General features: G+C 45.2%; 1 protein-coding gene across 15 annotated transcripts in view, besides 3 other annotated features; it reads left to right on the top strand.

Moving 5' to 3' along the window:
- The window catches only part of ZNF423 (zinc finger protein 423), a 371756-nt gene that overhangs the window by 240637 nt on the left and 113621 nt on the right, over positions 1-17498 (top strand). The gene's annotated exons all lie outside the window — the stretch shown is intronic.
- Positions 879-1379: an enhancer, noted in NCBI's record as "H3K4me1 hESC enhancer chr16:49651175-49651675 (GRCh37/hg19 assembly coordinates)". NCBI's record gives its function as "activates a minimal SCP1, AML or CMV promoter by ChIP-STARR-seq in primed H9 embryonic stem cells {active_cell/tissue: H9 hESC(primed)}" and the evidence as "EXISTENCE:reporter gene assay evidence [ECO:0000049][PMID:30033119]".
- Positions 2397-2897: an enhancer, noted in NCBI's record as "H3K4me1 hESC enhancer chr16:49649657-49650157 (GRCh37/hg19 assembly coordinates)". NCBI's record gives its function as "activates a minimal SCP1, AML or CMV promoter by ChIP-STARR-seq in primed H9 embryonic stem cells {active_cell/tissue: H9 hESC(primed)}" and the evidence as "EXISTENCE:reporter gene assay evidence [ECO:0000049][PMID:30033119]".
- Positions 2898-3398: an enhancer, noted in NCBI's record as "H3K4me1 hESC enhancer chr16:49649156-49649656 (GRCh37/hg19 assembly coordinates)". NCBI's record gives its function as "activates a minimal SCP1, AML or CMV promoter by ChIP-STARR-seq in primed H9 embryonic stem cells {active_cell/tissue: H9 hESC(primed)}" and the evidence as "EXISTENCE:reporter gene assay evidence [ECO:0000049][PMID:30033119]".

Below are 17498 nucleotides of genomic sequence, written 5' to 3'. Positions count from 1 at the left end.
AGGTTTAATTGACTCACAGTTCTGCAGGGCTGGGGAGGCCTCAGGAAACTTACAATCATAGTGGAAGGGGAAGCAAGCACGTCTTACATGGCGGCAGGAGAGAGAGAGAAGAAAGCAAAGGGGGAAGAGCACCTTATGAAACCATCAGATCTTGTGAGAACTCATTCATGAGAACAGCATTGGGGAAACCACCTCCATGATCCAATCACCTTCCTCTCTCGACACGTGGGGATTACAGGTCTCTCCCTCCACACATGGGGATTACAATTCGAGATGAAATTTGGGTGGGGACACAGAGCTAAACCGTATCAGTCAGTACCATCTAATGAAGCTTACTCAGCACCAGGCCCTTCTTTCCATATCTGCAGGTGTTATCACACTTCACCCTCACAACACCCTGTGAGACGTGCTGTCATTACTTCCTTTTATCCATGGGGAGTTGAGGTGTCATGTCCAATGTTGCTAGTTTCAGGGTAGGGACCTGAACTCAGCCAGTGTGACTCGGGGCCTGCGCCCTTAACCCCTGCACCTGAAGGCTCATCACGTTTGGTGGGCTTGAGTGTTTGTGATAATGTGGCCTTGCACAAGATACCCATGGAGATCTGAGGGCCAGCAGGGCCCTGTCTGGGGAAGAGGATCCAGCGGCATCAGCATAGATGGTGAGAACATCTGGGAGGAGCCTGGAGAGTGAGGAGTGTAGGGTGGTTGGTGCTGAAGGAGCAGTGTTTCCAGGAATATCAATTGGGTGCAGTGTGAAAAGTGCACTGGGAGGGAGGCTGAAGAGGGTCTGTGTGGCTCAGCAACAAGTGGCCATTGTGTCCTGGGTGTGAGCAGGGTCAGTGGCATCAGATGGAAGGGGTCAGGAGGAGATGGGGGTGGGCAGCAGTGTCAGTGGACTTTCCGGGTTCCAGGCTGGGAGAGGAGGGAGAGAAGTGGGAGCTGGAAGGCTCCAAAGGTAACAGGAAGTATTTGCATTTTTAAGAGAGAGAGACCAAAGTGTGTTTCTAGGTTCGGGAGAGAGATCCAGCAGGGAGGGGAAGAGGAAGGATGGAAGTGAGGGAGATGCTGATGGAGCTGGTCCTGGAGGGGCTGGCACTGGAGCCCTGGCATCATCTTGCTTGAGCCGGCTCATAAGCATGTTCTTCTCTTCTTGCTGTCATGTCACATGGGCTTGGTGGCCTGGATTGTTGAACTGACTTTGTTGAGCATCCTTTGATGTCATTTGGCTGCTTGGCAGCAGCTGATGCATGGGCAATTTCCCTCATACCTGCTTCTGGCTGAGCCTTACTGGAATAACAGCAGACAACAAGGGTCCTGTGGCCAGTGGCCCCAGAGCTTGGTCCCCTCTGTCCTGAGCACCCAGTGGGCTTCAGAGCCTCAGACCTGGCCTTGGATCCTTGGGGCCCAGCGGGGAGAAAGTGGAAGGCCTCTTCCACTGGCCTCAGGAGCGTCCTGAAGCTGCCCATGAGCCAATCGTTATGGCCAGGGAGGTGGAGCTGGTTATCTGGTCAGGCTGGTGACCCCTGCCCTTCCTGGGTGTCTGCCCCCCAGCAGTGGAAGTAGGAAGGGTATTATTGAAAAGAAAGAGGGCTTTTATTTCCACAAGAAGGGGCAGCACAAACAGTGCAACTCACCACACCTACTGGTTGGCACTGTTTGGAGGATTAAATAAATTAAAATGTATGAAAAGGTCCCAGCACACTGCCTGGCACATGTTAAGTTCTGAATAAATTCTATCTATCAATATTGTATTAGTGTTATTAGATGATGATGATGATAGAGTCCCAGTTTAGAGAGGAAAAACCGGCCATGCTAAGCCTATATACCAGATGTCAGTGCTTATCAGCTCAGAGGATGCTCCTGAGGGCTTTCTGCAAGAAGAATGGCCCCCTCTCTCTGCCTTGTCAAGACTCCAAGGGGCTGGGCCTGGAGGACAGACCCAGAAGGAGTAGCTCCAATCAAGCCGATTTTTCATTTATTCCTTCATTCATTCAGTTTTCTTTTTTTAATTTTTAATTTTTATGGGTACATAATAGGTGTATATATTTATGGAGTACATGAGATCTTTCGATACAGGCATGCAATATATAATAATCACATCAGGGAAAATGGGGTATCTATCACCTGAAGCATTTATTCTTTCTTTGTGCTACAAACAATCCAATTATACTCTTTTAGTTATTTTAAAATGTACAATAAATGATTGTTGACTGTAGTCACCCTGTTGTGCTATCAAATACTAGATCTTACTGATTCTGTCGAACTATATTTTTGTACCCACTAACCATCCCCACTTCCCCTCCCTCCCTGCTACCCTTCCTAGCATCTGCTGACCATCACTCTGCACTCTATCTCCATGAGTTCAGTTGTTTTAAATTTTAGCTCCTACAAATGAGTGAGAACATGGGACATTTGTCTTTCTGTGCCTGACTTATTCCACTTAACATAATGTCCCCCAGTTCCAAGTTATTTTTCTTTCTTGAATACCTACTGTGTGCCAGGCAGTAAGCATGAATATTGCAGCAAGCAGAACAGTCTTTGCCATTTTGTCCCAGAGCATAGTGTCTGGTGGGAGCAGACAGGTGTTCACTAAGAGAACAAGTAAGAGCTCCTGATTGTGTCCAATAGTGATGGGTACCACACAGAAGAGAAGGGCGGGTCCTGGGTGTGTGTGGGAGCAAGGTGAAAATGAAACGTATGCAGCGGCCTCCCTGGAACTGACTTGCAGGCTGATAGCAAAGTCTCATCAAAGCATTTTTTGTTTTGGTCAAGCACGTGGCTGCCCACCGACCTGAACACTTGAACCCACTGCTCAGCACGTCCTTTCCCTGTAGGGAGGCGAGACCATTTGGGTGGAGCCAGGTCATGGCGACAGAGGCCCAGGGGTTGGCCTGGGCTTAACTGGGTGATGCTCCTGGTGCCTAGAGGAGCCCCTTGGTCAGGCTGCCAGGCCCCCTGTTACCGAGACTCCAGCATCTGCTCTTTAGACCTCTGGTTTCTGCCTGATTGCCCCACACAGGGTTGTTTCACCAGCAGCTGGGGGACTTCAGGCCTCCCAGCTTGTGACTGCCCTCTGCCCCCACCATGGGACTGCCTAGCCTGCGTGCCTTTCTGGTCCTCTGGCATCCCTTTGCTCATTCTCTTTTACTTCTCCCTGTTTCCACCCTGCCTTTTTCAGCCCACTGTCCCTGGGGGCTCCAGAACCCTCCTGTCCCATCCTTCCCCTCTAGGTGTCCAGATTTACCCACTAAAAATACAGGCTAAGTAAGTTTGAATTACAAATAAACAGCCAATACATTTTTAGTCGAAGTATGTCTCCATTCATTTGCATGGGACATACTCTACTAAAACATTATTTCTTGTCCGAAATTTGCATTTGCCTGCCGTCCTGTATTTTACCTGGCAACCCTGCACCCTCTCCACGCCTCAAGCCAGTTAGCCTGGGAAGAATGCTGGTGCTCATTACCCCCCTGCCCCGTGTGTGTGTGTGTGTGTGTGTGTGTGTGTGTGTGAGATGGAGTTTCTTTCTTGTTGCCCAGGCTGGAGTGCAATGGCACGATCTCGCCTCACTGCAACCTCTGCCTCCCAGGTTCAAGTGATTCTCCTGCCTCAGCCTCCTGAGTAACTGAGATTACAGGCAAGCGTCACCACACCTGGCCAGTTTTTGTTTTATTAGTAGAGATGGGGTTTCACCATGTTGGCCAGGCTGGCCTTGAACTCCTGACCTCAGGTGATACACCCGCCAGAGCCTCCCAAAGTGCTGGGATTACTGTTGTGAGCCACTGCTCCCTATCCATTCCCCCTTCTTTTAAAGCCCCTCCTGGGCTTTTATTTGTCCTTTAAACATTTTTAGCTTAAAGACAATAAAGTTCTTATTTTGAGATAATTGTATATTCACATGCAGATTCACATAGAGGTCCTCTGTACACTTTACCCAGTTTCTCCCAACAGTAACATCTTGCAAAACTAGAGTACAATATCACATCCAGGATATTGACATTGATACAGTCAAGCTACAAAACATTTCCATTGCCACAAGAATCCCTCCCGTTGCCCTTTTATAGCCATAGACACTTCCCTCCTACCCATAATCCTTGGAAACCACTACTCTCTTCTCTGTTTCTATAATTTTATCATTTCAAGACTGTTATATAAATGGAATTATATTTAAGTTTTCGTTATTTTGGGGGTAAATTCCCAAGAGTGCAATTGCTAGGTCTGTAGTACTTGCATGTTTGACTTTTTAAGAAATTGCCAGACTGTTTTCCACAGTGGCTGTGCCATTTTACATTCCTACCAGCAATGTAGGAAAGATCACATTTCTCTACGTTCTCACCAGCATTTGTTCTGTCACTATTTGTTTAGTTTAGCCAATCTGATAGTTGCATTGTGATATCTCATTGTGCTTTTAATTTGCATTTCCTTAATGGCTAATGATGTTGAACATCTTTTCATGGGCTTATTTGCCAGCCATTCCTCTTTGATGAAATGTTCCTTCATAAATTTTGCCCATTGTCTAATTGGATCATTTGCTTTTTTACCATTTAGTTTTGAGAGTTCTTTATGTATTCTAAGTACTAGTCCTTTGTTAGGTATGTGGTCAGCAAATATTTTTCCCAGTCTGGAGCTTGTCATTTTATCTTAAGAGGAGCTTTTGCAGAATAAAAGTTTTTAATTTTGTTTAATTAGATTTGTCAATTTTTCCTTTATGGATTATACCTTTGGTGCAAAGATTTTCTCCTATTTTTTTTTTCCTGAAAGTTTTATAGTTTTATTTTAGGCCATGGTCCATTTTGAGTTAGTTTTTATATACAATATAAGACTTAGGTTGAAGTTTTTTGTTTTTGTTTTTATTTTTGCCTATGAATGTCCAGTTGATCCTGTATCATTTGATGAAAAGGCTATCATTCTTCTATTGAATTGCTTTGTTTGTTTTTAGAGACAAGATCTAGCTCTGTCGACCAGGCTGGAGTGTTTGTAGCATGATCATAGCTCACTGAAGCCTTGAACTCTTGGGCTCAAGCAATCCTCCTGCCTCAGCACCAACTTCCCCCCTAACAAAATAGCTAGGACTACAGGCATAGGCCACCACATCTGGCTAATTTTTAAATTTTTGTGGAGAAGGATCTCACTATGTTGCCCATCTGGTGTTGAACTCCTGGCTTCAAGCAATCTTCTTGCTTCAGCTTTCCAAAGCACTGGGATTACAGGCATGAGCCACATTGTCCAGCCTCTCCATTGAATTGTTTTTGCACCTTTGTTAAATATCAGTTGAGCATATTTCTGTGGGTCTGTTTCTGGGTTCCACTGATGTATGTGCCTATCCCTCTGCCAAATACAATATAGTCTTGATTACTATAGCTATAGAATAAGTTTTGGAATTGAATAAACTGATTCCTTCTTTATTGATTGTCTTTTTCAAAATTGTTGCTATCTAGCTCTTTTTGCCTTTCCATATATATCTTAGAATAATCTTGTCTGTATCTACCAAAATTCTTGCTGTAATTTTGACTGGAATCATGTTAAATGTGTATATTGATTTGGGGAGAAATGACATCTTTACTGTCTTGAGTCTTCTAATCCATTAACATGGTATGTTTCTCCATTTATTTAGACCTGTGATTTCTTTCATCTTTTTTTTTTTTTTTAAAGTTTTCAACATCCTAATTTGGTACAGGTTTTGTTAGATGTATCTAATTATTTTAATTTTTTGAGCAATTATAAATGGTATTGCATTTTTAATTTCAGTGTTCATGTGTTTATTGCTAGTATATAGAAATACAGTTGGTTTTTGAATGTTCATTTTTGTATTGCTTGACTTTGCTCAACTTAGTTGTAGGAATTTTTCTGTAGATTCTATGGGATTTTCAGCATAGACAATCATGCCATCTGTAAATTGGGACAGTTTTATTTATTTCTTAACTATCTGTATGCCTTTTATTTCCTTTTCTTGCCTTATTGCCCTGGCTAGACCTACTGGCACTATGCTGAGTAACAGTAGTGTGAGAGTGGGTATGTTTGCCTTATTTCTGATCTTAAGGGAGACAACATTCAGTCTTCTACGATTAAGTAAAATAACAGCTATAGGTTTTCTTTGTAGATACTCCTTATCAAGTTGAGGAATTCTCCTTCTATCTAAGCATTTTTTGTTTGTTTGTTTGTTTGTTTTTTACCATGAATGGGTGTTGGATTTTGTCAAATGCCTGAAGTTTTTGTCTTTTTTTTTTTTTTTTACTGTACCTATTGTGAGACCATGCACTTTTTCTTAAGTATGTTAATATGGTGGATTATATTGACCAGTTTTCAAATATTGAGTAAGCCTTGCATCCTTGATATATATATATCTCATTTGGTCATGGTGTATACTTCTTTTTATATATTGCTAACTGCTATTTGCTAATACTTCGTCAGGGATTTTTGTATCTGTGTTTATGAGGGATATTGGTCTGAAGTTTTATTCTTGTCCTGTCTTTGACCGGGTTTTAATATAGGGCAATATTAATTTACTGAAATAAACTGGGAAGTGCCCTTTCCTCTTCTGTTTTCCAAAAGAAGTTATGTAGAATTGGTGTTGATTCTTCTTTAAACATTTGTTAGATTTATCCAGTAAAACACCTGGGTCTGGGGATTTCTTTACAGGGAGTTTTAAATTATGAATTCCATTTCCTTAATAGAATAGGACTATTCAAAATATCTATTTCTTATTATGTGTATTCTGGTAGTTTGTATTTTTTGAGAAATCAGATCATTTCATCTAATTTATCAAATTTATGTATGTAGAGTTTTTCATAGTATTATTCCCTTATTATTCTTTTGATGTCTGTAGTGTCTGTAGTGATATCCTCAGTTTCATTCTTGATATTGGTAATCTGTGTCTTCTCTCTTTTTTTGTTAGTTTTCTTAAAAGAATTGTCAATTTTATCAATCTTTTAAAACACCACCTGTTTGTTTAATTGATTTTCAATTTTGTTTTACTGTTTTCTGTTTCAGGGTTTCTGATCTTTTCCTTATTATTTTCTGCATTCTGCTTGTTCTATGTTTATCTTCATCTTTTTCTAGGTCTTTGAGGTGGAAGCTTAATTAATGATTTGAGACTTTTTCTCTTTATTAAGCATTTATTGCTATACATTTCCCTCTTAGCCTTTACTTAGCTGTGTCCCACGAATTTTGACATGTTGTAGTTTATTTTTTTGTTCAGTTCAGTGTATTAAAAAATTCCCATGAGCTTCCTCTTTGATCCATGATTATTTAGAGGTACGTCGTATAGTTTCTATTGTTTGGAGGCTTTCCTGCCTTTCTGCTATTAATTTCTAGTTTGGTTCCATTGTGATAGGAAAAAACACTATGTATGATTTCAGTTATTTTAAATATGTTGACATTTGTTTTATGACCCATGATATGGTCTGTCTTGGTATTTGTTCTCTACGCATTTGAAAAAATGTGCATTCTGTTATTGTTGGGTGGAGTGTTGTATAAATGTCTATTAGATCCTGTTGGTCAATGATTTTGAGTTCTTCTGTATCTTTTCTGATTTTCTGCGTAGTTGTCCTATCAGTCATTGAGAGAAAGGTTCTGAAGTTTCCTACTATAATTGTGGATATGTCTATTTCTTCTGTCAGCTCTATTAGCTTTTGCTTAGCATATTTTGCAGCTCTGTTGTTTGGTGCATACATATTTAAGATTTTCTTGGTAGATTGACCCCTTTATCATTGTTTAATGTTCTTTTCTTTCTTGCTAATTTTTTGTTCTGAAGCCTTCATTATATAATATTAATATAGCCTTTTTGCTTTCTTTCAATGAATGTTTGCAAGATATATCCTTTTACATTCTTTTACTTTCAACCTGCCAGTATTGTTATATTTTAAGTGAGTTTTTTGTAGACAGCACATAGGTGAGTCATTTTCCTTCCAGTCTGCCAATCTTCATCTTTTAATTAGTATAGTTAGGTTATTTATATTTAATGTTGTTAATGATATGTGAGAGCTTCAGTCTGCCATTTTATATTTTATTTTCTGTTTTTCATTTGTGGTTTACTTTTTTCCTTTCTGTGACTTACTTGAACATTTTTAAGAATTTTATTTTGGTTTATCTGTAGTGTTTTCATTTCTTGATACAGCTTTTTATCATGATTACTGTAGGTATTATATTATATACACATAACTTATCAAAGACTACTGGTGTCATAATCTTACCAGTTCAAGTGAAATGTAGAAAAGTTACCTCCCGTAGGTCCCTTTACTCTTCCCTACTTATGACTGTCTTAACTATTTCTTCTGCATATATTTAGTACTACATCAGACAGTGTTAACATTTTACATTAGACATCAAACATAATTTAGAAAACTCAAGAAGAGAAGGGGAATTAGTGGTATCTACAGTAAAATTTCCTTACCATGTTCTTTCTTACTACCTAATGTTCCAATCATTTCCTCTCTGTTTAGAAAACTTCCTTTAACCATTCTTTTTAGGGTGATTCTGCTGGTGACGCATTCTCTTAGTTTTCTTTTATCTGAGAGTATCTCAATTTTCCCTTGATTCTTGAAGGTCATTTTCACTGGATGTAGAAGAACTCTGGATTGACAGTTCTTTTTTATTCAGCAGTTGAAAAATGCTCTGCCACTTCCTTCTTGCCTCCATGGTTTCTAATGAGAAATCTGCTGTCATTTGAATTATTTTTTCACTGTGTATAAGGTGTCATTTTTTCTCCAGCTGCTTTCAAGATTTTTTCCTGTCCTGGAGTTTTCAGGAGTTGGAATATGATTTGTCTTGGTGTGGATTTCCTTGTGTTTATTCCTTTTGAGTTTCACTCAGCTTCTCGAATACATCTACATCTCTTGCCAAATTTGGGAATTTTTCAGCCATCACTCTTTTGAGTACATTTTCAATCCTGCCCTCTTTTTTTTTTATCTCCTTCTGGGACTTGAATCACAAAAATGTTATAGTCCCACTGGCCCCTGAAACTCTGGGTGATTTTTATTATTCTATCTCCTATTTCACTGATTCTTTTTTTCTCTTCTCTCTTCTGCTGTTAGGCCTATTCATTGGGTTTTAAGATTTTCTCCTTTATCCATTTCTAAAATTTCCATTTAGTGCCTCCTTGTATCTCCTATTTCTTTGTCAAAACTATCTAGGTCTTTGCTGGACTTCTTTTTTTTTCCACTTGTTTCAAGGATGATCATAATTGTTTATTGACGTAATTCTATGATGCCTCCTTTAAACTCCCCATTAGATAATTCCAACATCTCTGTCATTTTGATTTTGGCATATATTGATTGACTTTTTTGCCATTGAATTTGAGATCTTGTTTCTTGGTAGGATAGATGATTTTTGATTGAAATCTTTATGTATTACATAATGACACTGTGGATCTTATTTAAACCCTCTGTTTTAGCTGGCTTCCTTTGACCCCACTCCAGTGCAGAAGGGGTGCAGATGCCATCTTGCTACTGCCAGGTGTGGGTAGAATTCCAGGCTCGTTTCCTCCCTAGGTCTCCACTCATACCTCTCTGAGCAGTCGTGGTAGGAATGCATCATTTCTGCTCTCCACATGGTCTCCACTATACCAGGAGGATGGGTTAGGGCACTTGTTACTGTTAGGTAGGAGGGGAGTCCAGGCTCCCCATGTGGTCTCTACTGACACCATGGGGAAAGGCCTTGTTACTGCCCAGCAAGTATGACTGTCTTGGCTCCCTGCTAGGGTTTCTCTGATGCCACATTAACAGGGATGGGAAGAGCGGGCGGTGAGTGCCTCATTATATAAGCCTTGCCAGCACGGCAGTCTCAGATCTCCATTCAGCCTTTGCTGGAGTGGATGGTGGTGGGGTCATAGTTTTCTTCTGTGGGGTTTGCCTGGAGCAGAGCTGTTATTGTCTAAACGTTTTCTGTTTTGCCAGGCAAAAATCTTTCCTGGTCCTTTGGCTAGAAAGAGTGGGGTTTGGTTAAGGCTTAAAGCAAAATCCTTGTTGGTGTTTCTGGGTTGCCAGTTTTGTCAGGTCCTAGTCTGGGATATATGAAGCAAAAAGAAAACCCAGGATCCTCACCGCTTTGTCACTCCTTGGGTCCCTGGCTGGTCTGGCTTCTTCTCTCTGCCTTTCTGAATCTTCTTCTGTTTCTTTCATATATAATGTTCAGGGTTTTAGTTGTACTTCGACAGAGGAATAGGGAATAGTACATCTGTGGGAGTGATCTGGAAGCAGCACAGGCAACTGAGAACCTCCATAAACATTGTTTTATTCCACAGCAACTTCTGTGCTAGCTTGTAGGACTCAGGGTGTGGAAATTGGAGCTAAGAGTTTGAGGGCTTGAGCTCAGGCCCCTCCTCCTTCCCCCTCCCCTCCTCTTCTGACTCGCCTGTTGGTGGCAGTTGTAAATCAAGCCTAGCAGTAAACGTTGATACTAACGATCCCTTGTTCCTGTGCCAGCATTGCTTTTTATATTCTTCCCTCCGATGGTCCTTCTCACTCTGGTTTTATCCTCCTAGGAGCTGATGAGGTAGACAGGCTGGGGTGGGGTCCCACCTGACATATCAGATGGGTGCACTCATAGTGTAGACCAGGAGCTGGGCAAAGGTGGGGCATAACTGGTGCTTGGGGGTTGAGGGGAAAATCACTGATCCAGTGTTGAAGATATGGGGTGGTAGAATGATCTCCAGTCATTGATGCCTAGGGCTAAAAGTTGTCATGGGAGTTGGGAGGGGCAGACGGAAATTCCACTGGCCATATGGTGGTCTTGTCCTTCAAAGGAGGACAGCTCTCGCACTAACACCACTTCTCCTGACTGGGCATCTTGAGCCCCCTCCCCGCATTCCCACAGGTGGGGCCTTAGGAAGCTGTTGTGGAATTGTAGCATTTGGATGGATAATGGAAAGGGGTGGATGTTCCTGAGATTTCGAGGCAAATAAAAACATGCCAGATTGTTTTTGAAGCATCAAATGCAAATTGTCAACATGAACATATTTCTGGACTTAACAGTTGAATGTGTGAATTAATTATGGGCCTATTAAGATACAGAATGATCCTTACTTTCATATGACTAAAACAACCCCATTATCCAGCCCTTTCACTTTGGGAAGAGGATTCCGTGGGCTGCTCTTTTAAAGCTGCAGGGGCTGATTGAAATCAAGAAGCTCTGTGACACAAACCCAGCTTCTTCAGTTTTGGTGATCTGCCCCCAGAATCTGGCTTAGGATTAGATTCCCATCAAACATCAACATACACAGTAAAGAACCCATAGCTTTGGGAAAAAGGTAGTCATTTCTACTGATAACATGAATCCTTAAAAGATGCTGAAGTTGAGGTCCTCAGTCCATGCTGGGCTTAGTTAATCTTCTTATGTTTATGAACTCTGAATTCTGTGGCCTGTTATGCAGGGCTGCAGTGAGCCACAAAAGGCACCTTTCACTATGCAAGGACCACAAAAAATGCTATCCTGAGTGGGGTTTTCATGAAGGGTTTATCATAAGGCCTGCTTCCTTAAAGGAAAAACAAAACAACAACTCAGTAGTCACCTGTGTGAATGAAGGACTCTGACTCTCTCAACTGTCAAGATCTGTTTTACAAAAAAAAAAAAAAAAATCCAAAACATTTAACGTTTCACCATAAAACATTTTGGGGCTTCTTTCTGCAGCATCAGGATCAGAATCTGGGTTCAGACATCTGGCTCTGTCTCCTGCTCCTGGGGCAGCTCATTTCTTTCTCCTGGTGACCTCCTCTCCCTGCAGACCCCCACCCGGTGGGCTCTGCTCTGGTTCCAATGGCCTTCACACGGCTTGCATGGTCCCCACTTCTCTGCTCGGAGACTTGGGAGGCCTTGTTTCAGAGATGGCAGGAGCATTACTCAGTCAGTTAAAGGAACATATAAGTGAAAAGATAGTTAGAATGTTCCTCGCTGTGTTCTCACCCATCCCAGGGCCCCTGTGATCACTGTTCACCAAGGCACCTGTGTCAGGACACCTTAGCTGGTATGCACCAGTACCACTGTACTGTTTGATAAAACATTCATGTGCTTCCTAACCACCTAGCAAATAGTTTCTGCCCTGAGACCCCTATCCACAGGTTCTCCCTCTGGGACCTGAGCCCCCTGGGCATCCCCAGCACTTGAGGGGATAACCCCCAGTCCATCAGGGCTACCACATCACCCCCTGGGATAATTCAGGTTGGTGGGGACCCTGGTGCACCAGTTGTTGAAACATTCTGCATATCAACTTTGCTGGTTACCCTATTTTCTACTCTTTCTGTCCCTCCACTCCTCAGCAAGTGTTACTGAATTCTAACCATGGGCTTGGCATGACACCATTTCCTCGCTCTTAAGCTGGCTTCTCTAGGTCCAGCGTGTGTCTTCCCAGTCACATACCCTCATGCCAGGCCCCTTCTGCTGTCGGTGGGCATTACAGATGTTTCTTCTTACTGCACAGGAGAGCGTCTAAGAGAGGACTTTATTTTGCTCTAACTCCAAAGGATGGGACTTTCCCATAGGAAAGTGACTCCTACATGTCCTTCTGCAGCTTTCACTCTGTTTACAGTTTGATGACAGTTGCTTGCTTCTTGTTACATCCTCAGAGCTGCTATGACAATGGCGCTGGCTGCAGGTGCACGCGGCTGTGACAGCGGCCCTTCCCTCTTTCTGCTCAGCCCCTGTTGCATTCTCATTACGAAGTCTTGATGACTTTGAGCTCTGTGTTTGGCTAGTGTTTTTCTCATTCGTCCCATCACCAGGTAGAGGTTGGGGAAACACCTTTCCCGGGAATCTGCTCCTTGTGTTTTCAGTTTGGAAAGTTTTGTCATTAGCACATCTGCTCCTTGTTTCACAGTCTATTGGCCTCTGCTGCTCAGCAAGCTGCAACTGACACTTGTCAGTCAACCGCTGCCTGCCAGTGACAACGGGGGCCTTGGGAATGACTCCACTCTTCAGAGTGGCAATGTCTTAATAAGTGAGGCACATGCAGGAAGCCACCTCGCCCAGCTCACAGTCTTCCAGGGCTGGTGCAGGGCCGGGGCTTCATTTATTGAAAAATAGTATTTTAATTCTCCCGAGGGAGTGTCTGCTGTCGCTCAGAAGGGGGCCTGAGGGTCTGTTCTGGGGAATGGAAGGAGGTGGGATGGGCTTGGTTCTCTTTTAGAAGGCTGAGTTGGAGTTCTCTCTTTGTTTGGAGCAGTGTCTAGAAGGGGCTTGCTGCTCTGTTGAAGCCAAGAAAAAGCTGGAAGCTTCACGACTAAGTGGTCCATTTTACTTTTCAGGAAGCTGAGGCTTTGAGAGGGACAGACACTTTCCCGAGGTTGCACAGCTGGCCAGAGGCTGGGATGGATGCAAACCCGCCCAAGTTCCATCTCATTCAATAAGTATTTAATGAACGAGAGAAGAGATGGAACTTGGGTGTGAGGAGGCCTGGAAATCTGGGTAGCCAACAAGCATCCTCCACCCCCAGGATTTGTATCTCCAGGGAAGTCTGGGAAATTCTGGTCGATACTACATCTGCTGGTGGTGAGACCTGGAGCTCGGTGGGAACCTGGGAGCTGGGACTTTGGGACCCAGTGGCCCAGACCCAGGGCCGGGACTATTTCTAGAACCCTCAATACCCTTGGCAAGAGGAGAAGAGTGGGCTGTTATGGGCATGGAAGCCAATACATTAAGCCAGGCAGCATCCGAGGCAAAAGTTGAAAGTGGTAATACATTTCCCCCTTTCCTCTGGGGTGTGATTTATTTTTCTTTCAACTGTTCCTTTGCATTCTGATTCTGCCCTCCCAGGATCTGGTGATGTGGACAGTCTGGGTTCTGGAGGGGACAGTGTCCGGCTTTCATCACACCAGTAGGGACAGTGGTCGTGGCAGCCCAGGAATGGGGTGGATGCAGCAGGCTTCTTGGTGTTTGGTGGTCAGACACAGGGGCAGAGCAATGCAAAATTCTGAGCCTTGAGGATGGGAGAAGGATCTCAGGTTGCATGACCAGATGGCCAGACTGGAAGTTGGGACAGGGGCAGAGGGAGCAGGGATTGCACTGACCGTGATTGTGCATCCCTCAAAAAAGCTGAGCTCTTGCACAAACCCAGGATGCCCCTTTTATGGATACAGAAATAGAGTGAGGTTTAGGAACCCTGCTGAGGTGATGCAACTATTTAATATTGATGGAGACTAGAAACGAGGCCACTAGATCACTGGTTCTCAAACTGCAGTGTGGCAGCGTGTTCAAGGCAGGTGCCCGTGGGCCAACTAGATGGGGTTGGGTGACGCCTTGCTCTGTTCTGTCCTTTGAAGTTTTCACTGGAAAGCTCTGTCCTGGACCACTGTGCCACTACCAGGGCTAGGGGAGGTGTGGGTCAGGCCTGTCCTGGAGGGTGGCTGTGGCCAGTCTTCAGCCCTCTGTGACCCCAATGGTGAGGGCACTCTCTCACAGGTGGCTGGTCAGATGTGATGAAATGTCAGTGGCCGTGGGTGCTTTGAGAGGCCTGGGTTGAGAGACAGTGGTGAGGGGCCCGGGTGCCCGCCAGCGGGGTGCTGATGGTGACCCTGTTTGCCGCCTGCTTGTGCATATTATCTGGCCTGCTTTCTGTTGCTCATCCACTGCCACAACCAGGGGCTGTTCTTGCAGCTCAGACACCGGTATCGTACGAGAACACCCAAGGGCCTTTCGTCTCAAATGGGTTCCTGCTATCAAAAGCTTCTCCCTGTATCAGGGCTTGGCTTTGGAGATTTCTGGCATCCTTGTGCCCTTGCCTGTCCCCAGGGCTCTCCAAGCCCTACCCCTGCTCCTGGCAAGCCACAAGGGGACTGCTTGGAGGATGAGGAAGGAGGGAGGCTATTTTCTTACTTTTGGTATAAATTATTCAGGCATGGCTCTGGTGCTCTCAGACATGGAGGAAAGATCAGCTGAATAATTTGTGGGACCTGATGCCAAATGAAAATGTGGGCTGTATGTCAGAAAATTATTAAGAATTTCTAGGCCGGGCATGGTGGCTTACACCCATAATCCCAGGACTTTGGGAGGCCGAGGTGGGCGGATCACCTGAGATCAGGAGTTCGAGACCAGCCTGGCCAACATGGTGAAACCGCGTCTCTACTAAAAACACAAAAATTAGCTGGGCGTGGTGGCGGGCGCCTGTAATCCCAGCTACTCTGGAGGCTGAGGCAGGAGAATCACTTGAACCCGGGAGGCGGAGGTCGCAGCAAGCTGAGATCACACCACTGCACTCCAGCCGGGGGGACAAGAGTGAGACTTCGTCTGAAGAAAAAAAAAATCTAGACAGTGACAGTAGGGTATAAAACCATATGCTGGGCTTTTCTAAATTCAGGAACCTGTGTGACTGCATGTATTACACGTCCTTGAAGCCAGTGCTGTGTGGAGGCAAGATTCTTTGAGTGACAGGAACCCCACAGGACACAGGCCTGCAGGATATGGTTGTGCAGGTTGTCTACTGCACAACTCTAGGGGACACCATTTACATTGTGGTCCCTGGCGGCCCTGCCAGAGATCACTGCAGCAGGCCCCAGATAGTGACAGTGATCCAGAACTTTGGGACAGAGAGGCTGCTTGGTGATGGGCTGGTATCCTCCCATCCAGACCCTTTTCTCGCACCAGTGTTTCGGAACCTCCTCCTCCCATCCTCCCTTTCTCCTTGGCATTTCAGGGACACGTTTCTCTGCGAAACCGAGGTGCCAGGGCTCCACGCGGGCGCTGCTGGGGAAGCTTCCGCTCCTCGGTGCTGATCGCCCGCCGGCAGCTCCGCTGTTAACCTTTGGGGTTTGCTCACAAAATAGAAACTCTCTTTGTAGGTCAGTTTGTCAGTAATTTTGGCAGCCGCGGGGCCACCGAGGGAATGAGGCTTGGTTCCCACTTGTCTCTTGTGCTCGGTTTGGAGACTTTTGCGGAGCCCTTCCCTGGGAGGAACACTCACCCCTGCCGGAAACAAGAGCCGGTTTTCTCTGACCTGGTTTTGAATCGGCAGGAGCAATTCCTGCATGCTGGAAACGCATGGCTGCTGAGAAGGAATTTGGTCCACACCCAGCCTGTGCCCTGGGCCTGCGGCTGGAGCCCAGGCACTTGTTTTCCTGGGCAGAAGGCACTTGGATGGGGCTGCCGGGTTTTACACTTCTGCTCCCACATTAGGCTACCTGGAGGAATCTGCTGAAACTGCCCCCCACCCGAAACTCGCTGAGTGTGCCCTGGTCTATGGACACCTTCATGACCTGCCAGCTGACCTGGTTCTGTGCAGCCCCTCCTGACCTTCACCCCCACCCTCAGCCTGGGCTGTCAAGGCTGTGGACATCTTCTACGGTGAAACTCTTCGAGTGCAGAAAAGATGAGGAGGGCCTCCTCACACCCTGCCTTCCAGGGGCTGGCAGCAAAACTGAGGGTGTGGGCAATTAGGCCATGAGCAGCTTGGGGAGGACTGGTTGTCAGAACAGCCATCAGGGAGTGCTGAAGAAGTCAGGAGGCCTTCCTGGCGGAGGCAGTGATGAACTGGACTCTAGCCCCTCTCTGTTATTTCGGGGCTTCCAGGGAGTCAGATTCAGAACAGAGCATCTCTGGTCCAGGACAGGAAGCCGGGGAGCCTAGGCTGGCATAGCTTTATGGCTCAGAGATGTAATGACACCCAAACAATAATTGAGCACCAACTGTATGCAAGACCCAGTGCTGGGACCAGAGTTAAGTCAGAGCTGGAACAAGTCTCCACAGCCAAAGCTGAGGTTTATAGGAAAGACTCCAGATCACCTAGAGACATGAAGGTTGTGTGTCAAGGAGGGAGAAGAGGAGGACTCAGGGTCTTGAGGAACAAGCCCCTGCCTGAGGCTGCCCATCTGTTTCCTCCGCCCTGGCTCCTGCTTCCTCTAGGAAGACAGGCAGGGAGGATGCTCTCCAGCTGCGGCTGTGTTCCTGAGCACCGCCTGCAGGTCCCAAAGCCAAGGGGGGACCACAGGCTGACTGAGCCCAGAGAGAAGCTTGCAGCTCTCCCTGGCTCACTTGCTGTGCAGCGCAGACCCCTGTGTCATTGACGTTGCATGTTTACAGAGAGGGCTGCCTTTTATGTGAACGAGCCACAGCCTGGACTCCAGCCTGTCCCCACCATGTGCCTTGTGACCTTGAACAAGTCACTCCCCTTCTGGGATCCACACTTCAACAATACCAGGGCTGAATTGGAGTAAGGAGCATTTCACAATGTTAACCAGGTTCCGTTCCTGTGGGAAGTTTCAGAGTTTTAACACGATAATAACAACAGTAATATTGATCCCAAATGAGTGTATAGCACTTATATGCCAGGCCCTGTTCTAAACACTTAATTCTCCCATCAGCCCCAAAGGGATACCCCTATTCTCTCCATTTGTAGATGGGGAAATTGAGGAATACAGAGGTGAAGTGACCTGCCCAAGGTGACACAGCCAGCGGATGTCAGAGCCAGGATGGGAACCCGCGTGGTATGGCTGTGGAACCCGTGTGCCTCACCACCATGCCACATTGTCCCCAATTTGGAGCATCTACCTAGAGGGAGCCGGGTTCTCTAGGAGACC

This window comes from Homo sapiens, chromosome 16 (genome assembly GCF_000001405.40).
Source record: "Homo sapiens chromosome 16, GRCh38.p14 Primary Assembly".
In the NCBI taxonomy this organism is placed as follows: Eukaryota; Metazoa; Chordata; class Mammalia; order Primates; family Hominidae; genus Homo; species Homo sapiens.
This window is presented reverse-complemented; position numbering and strand designations above follow the sequence as displayed.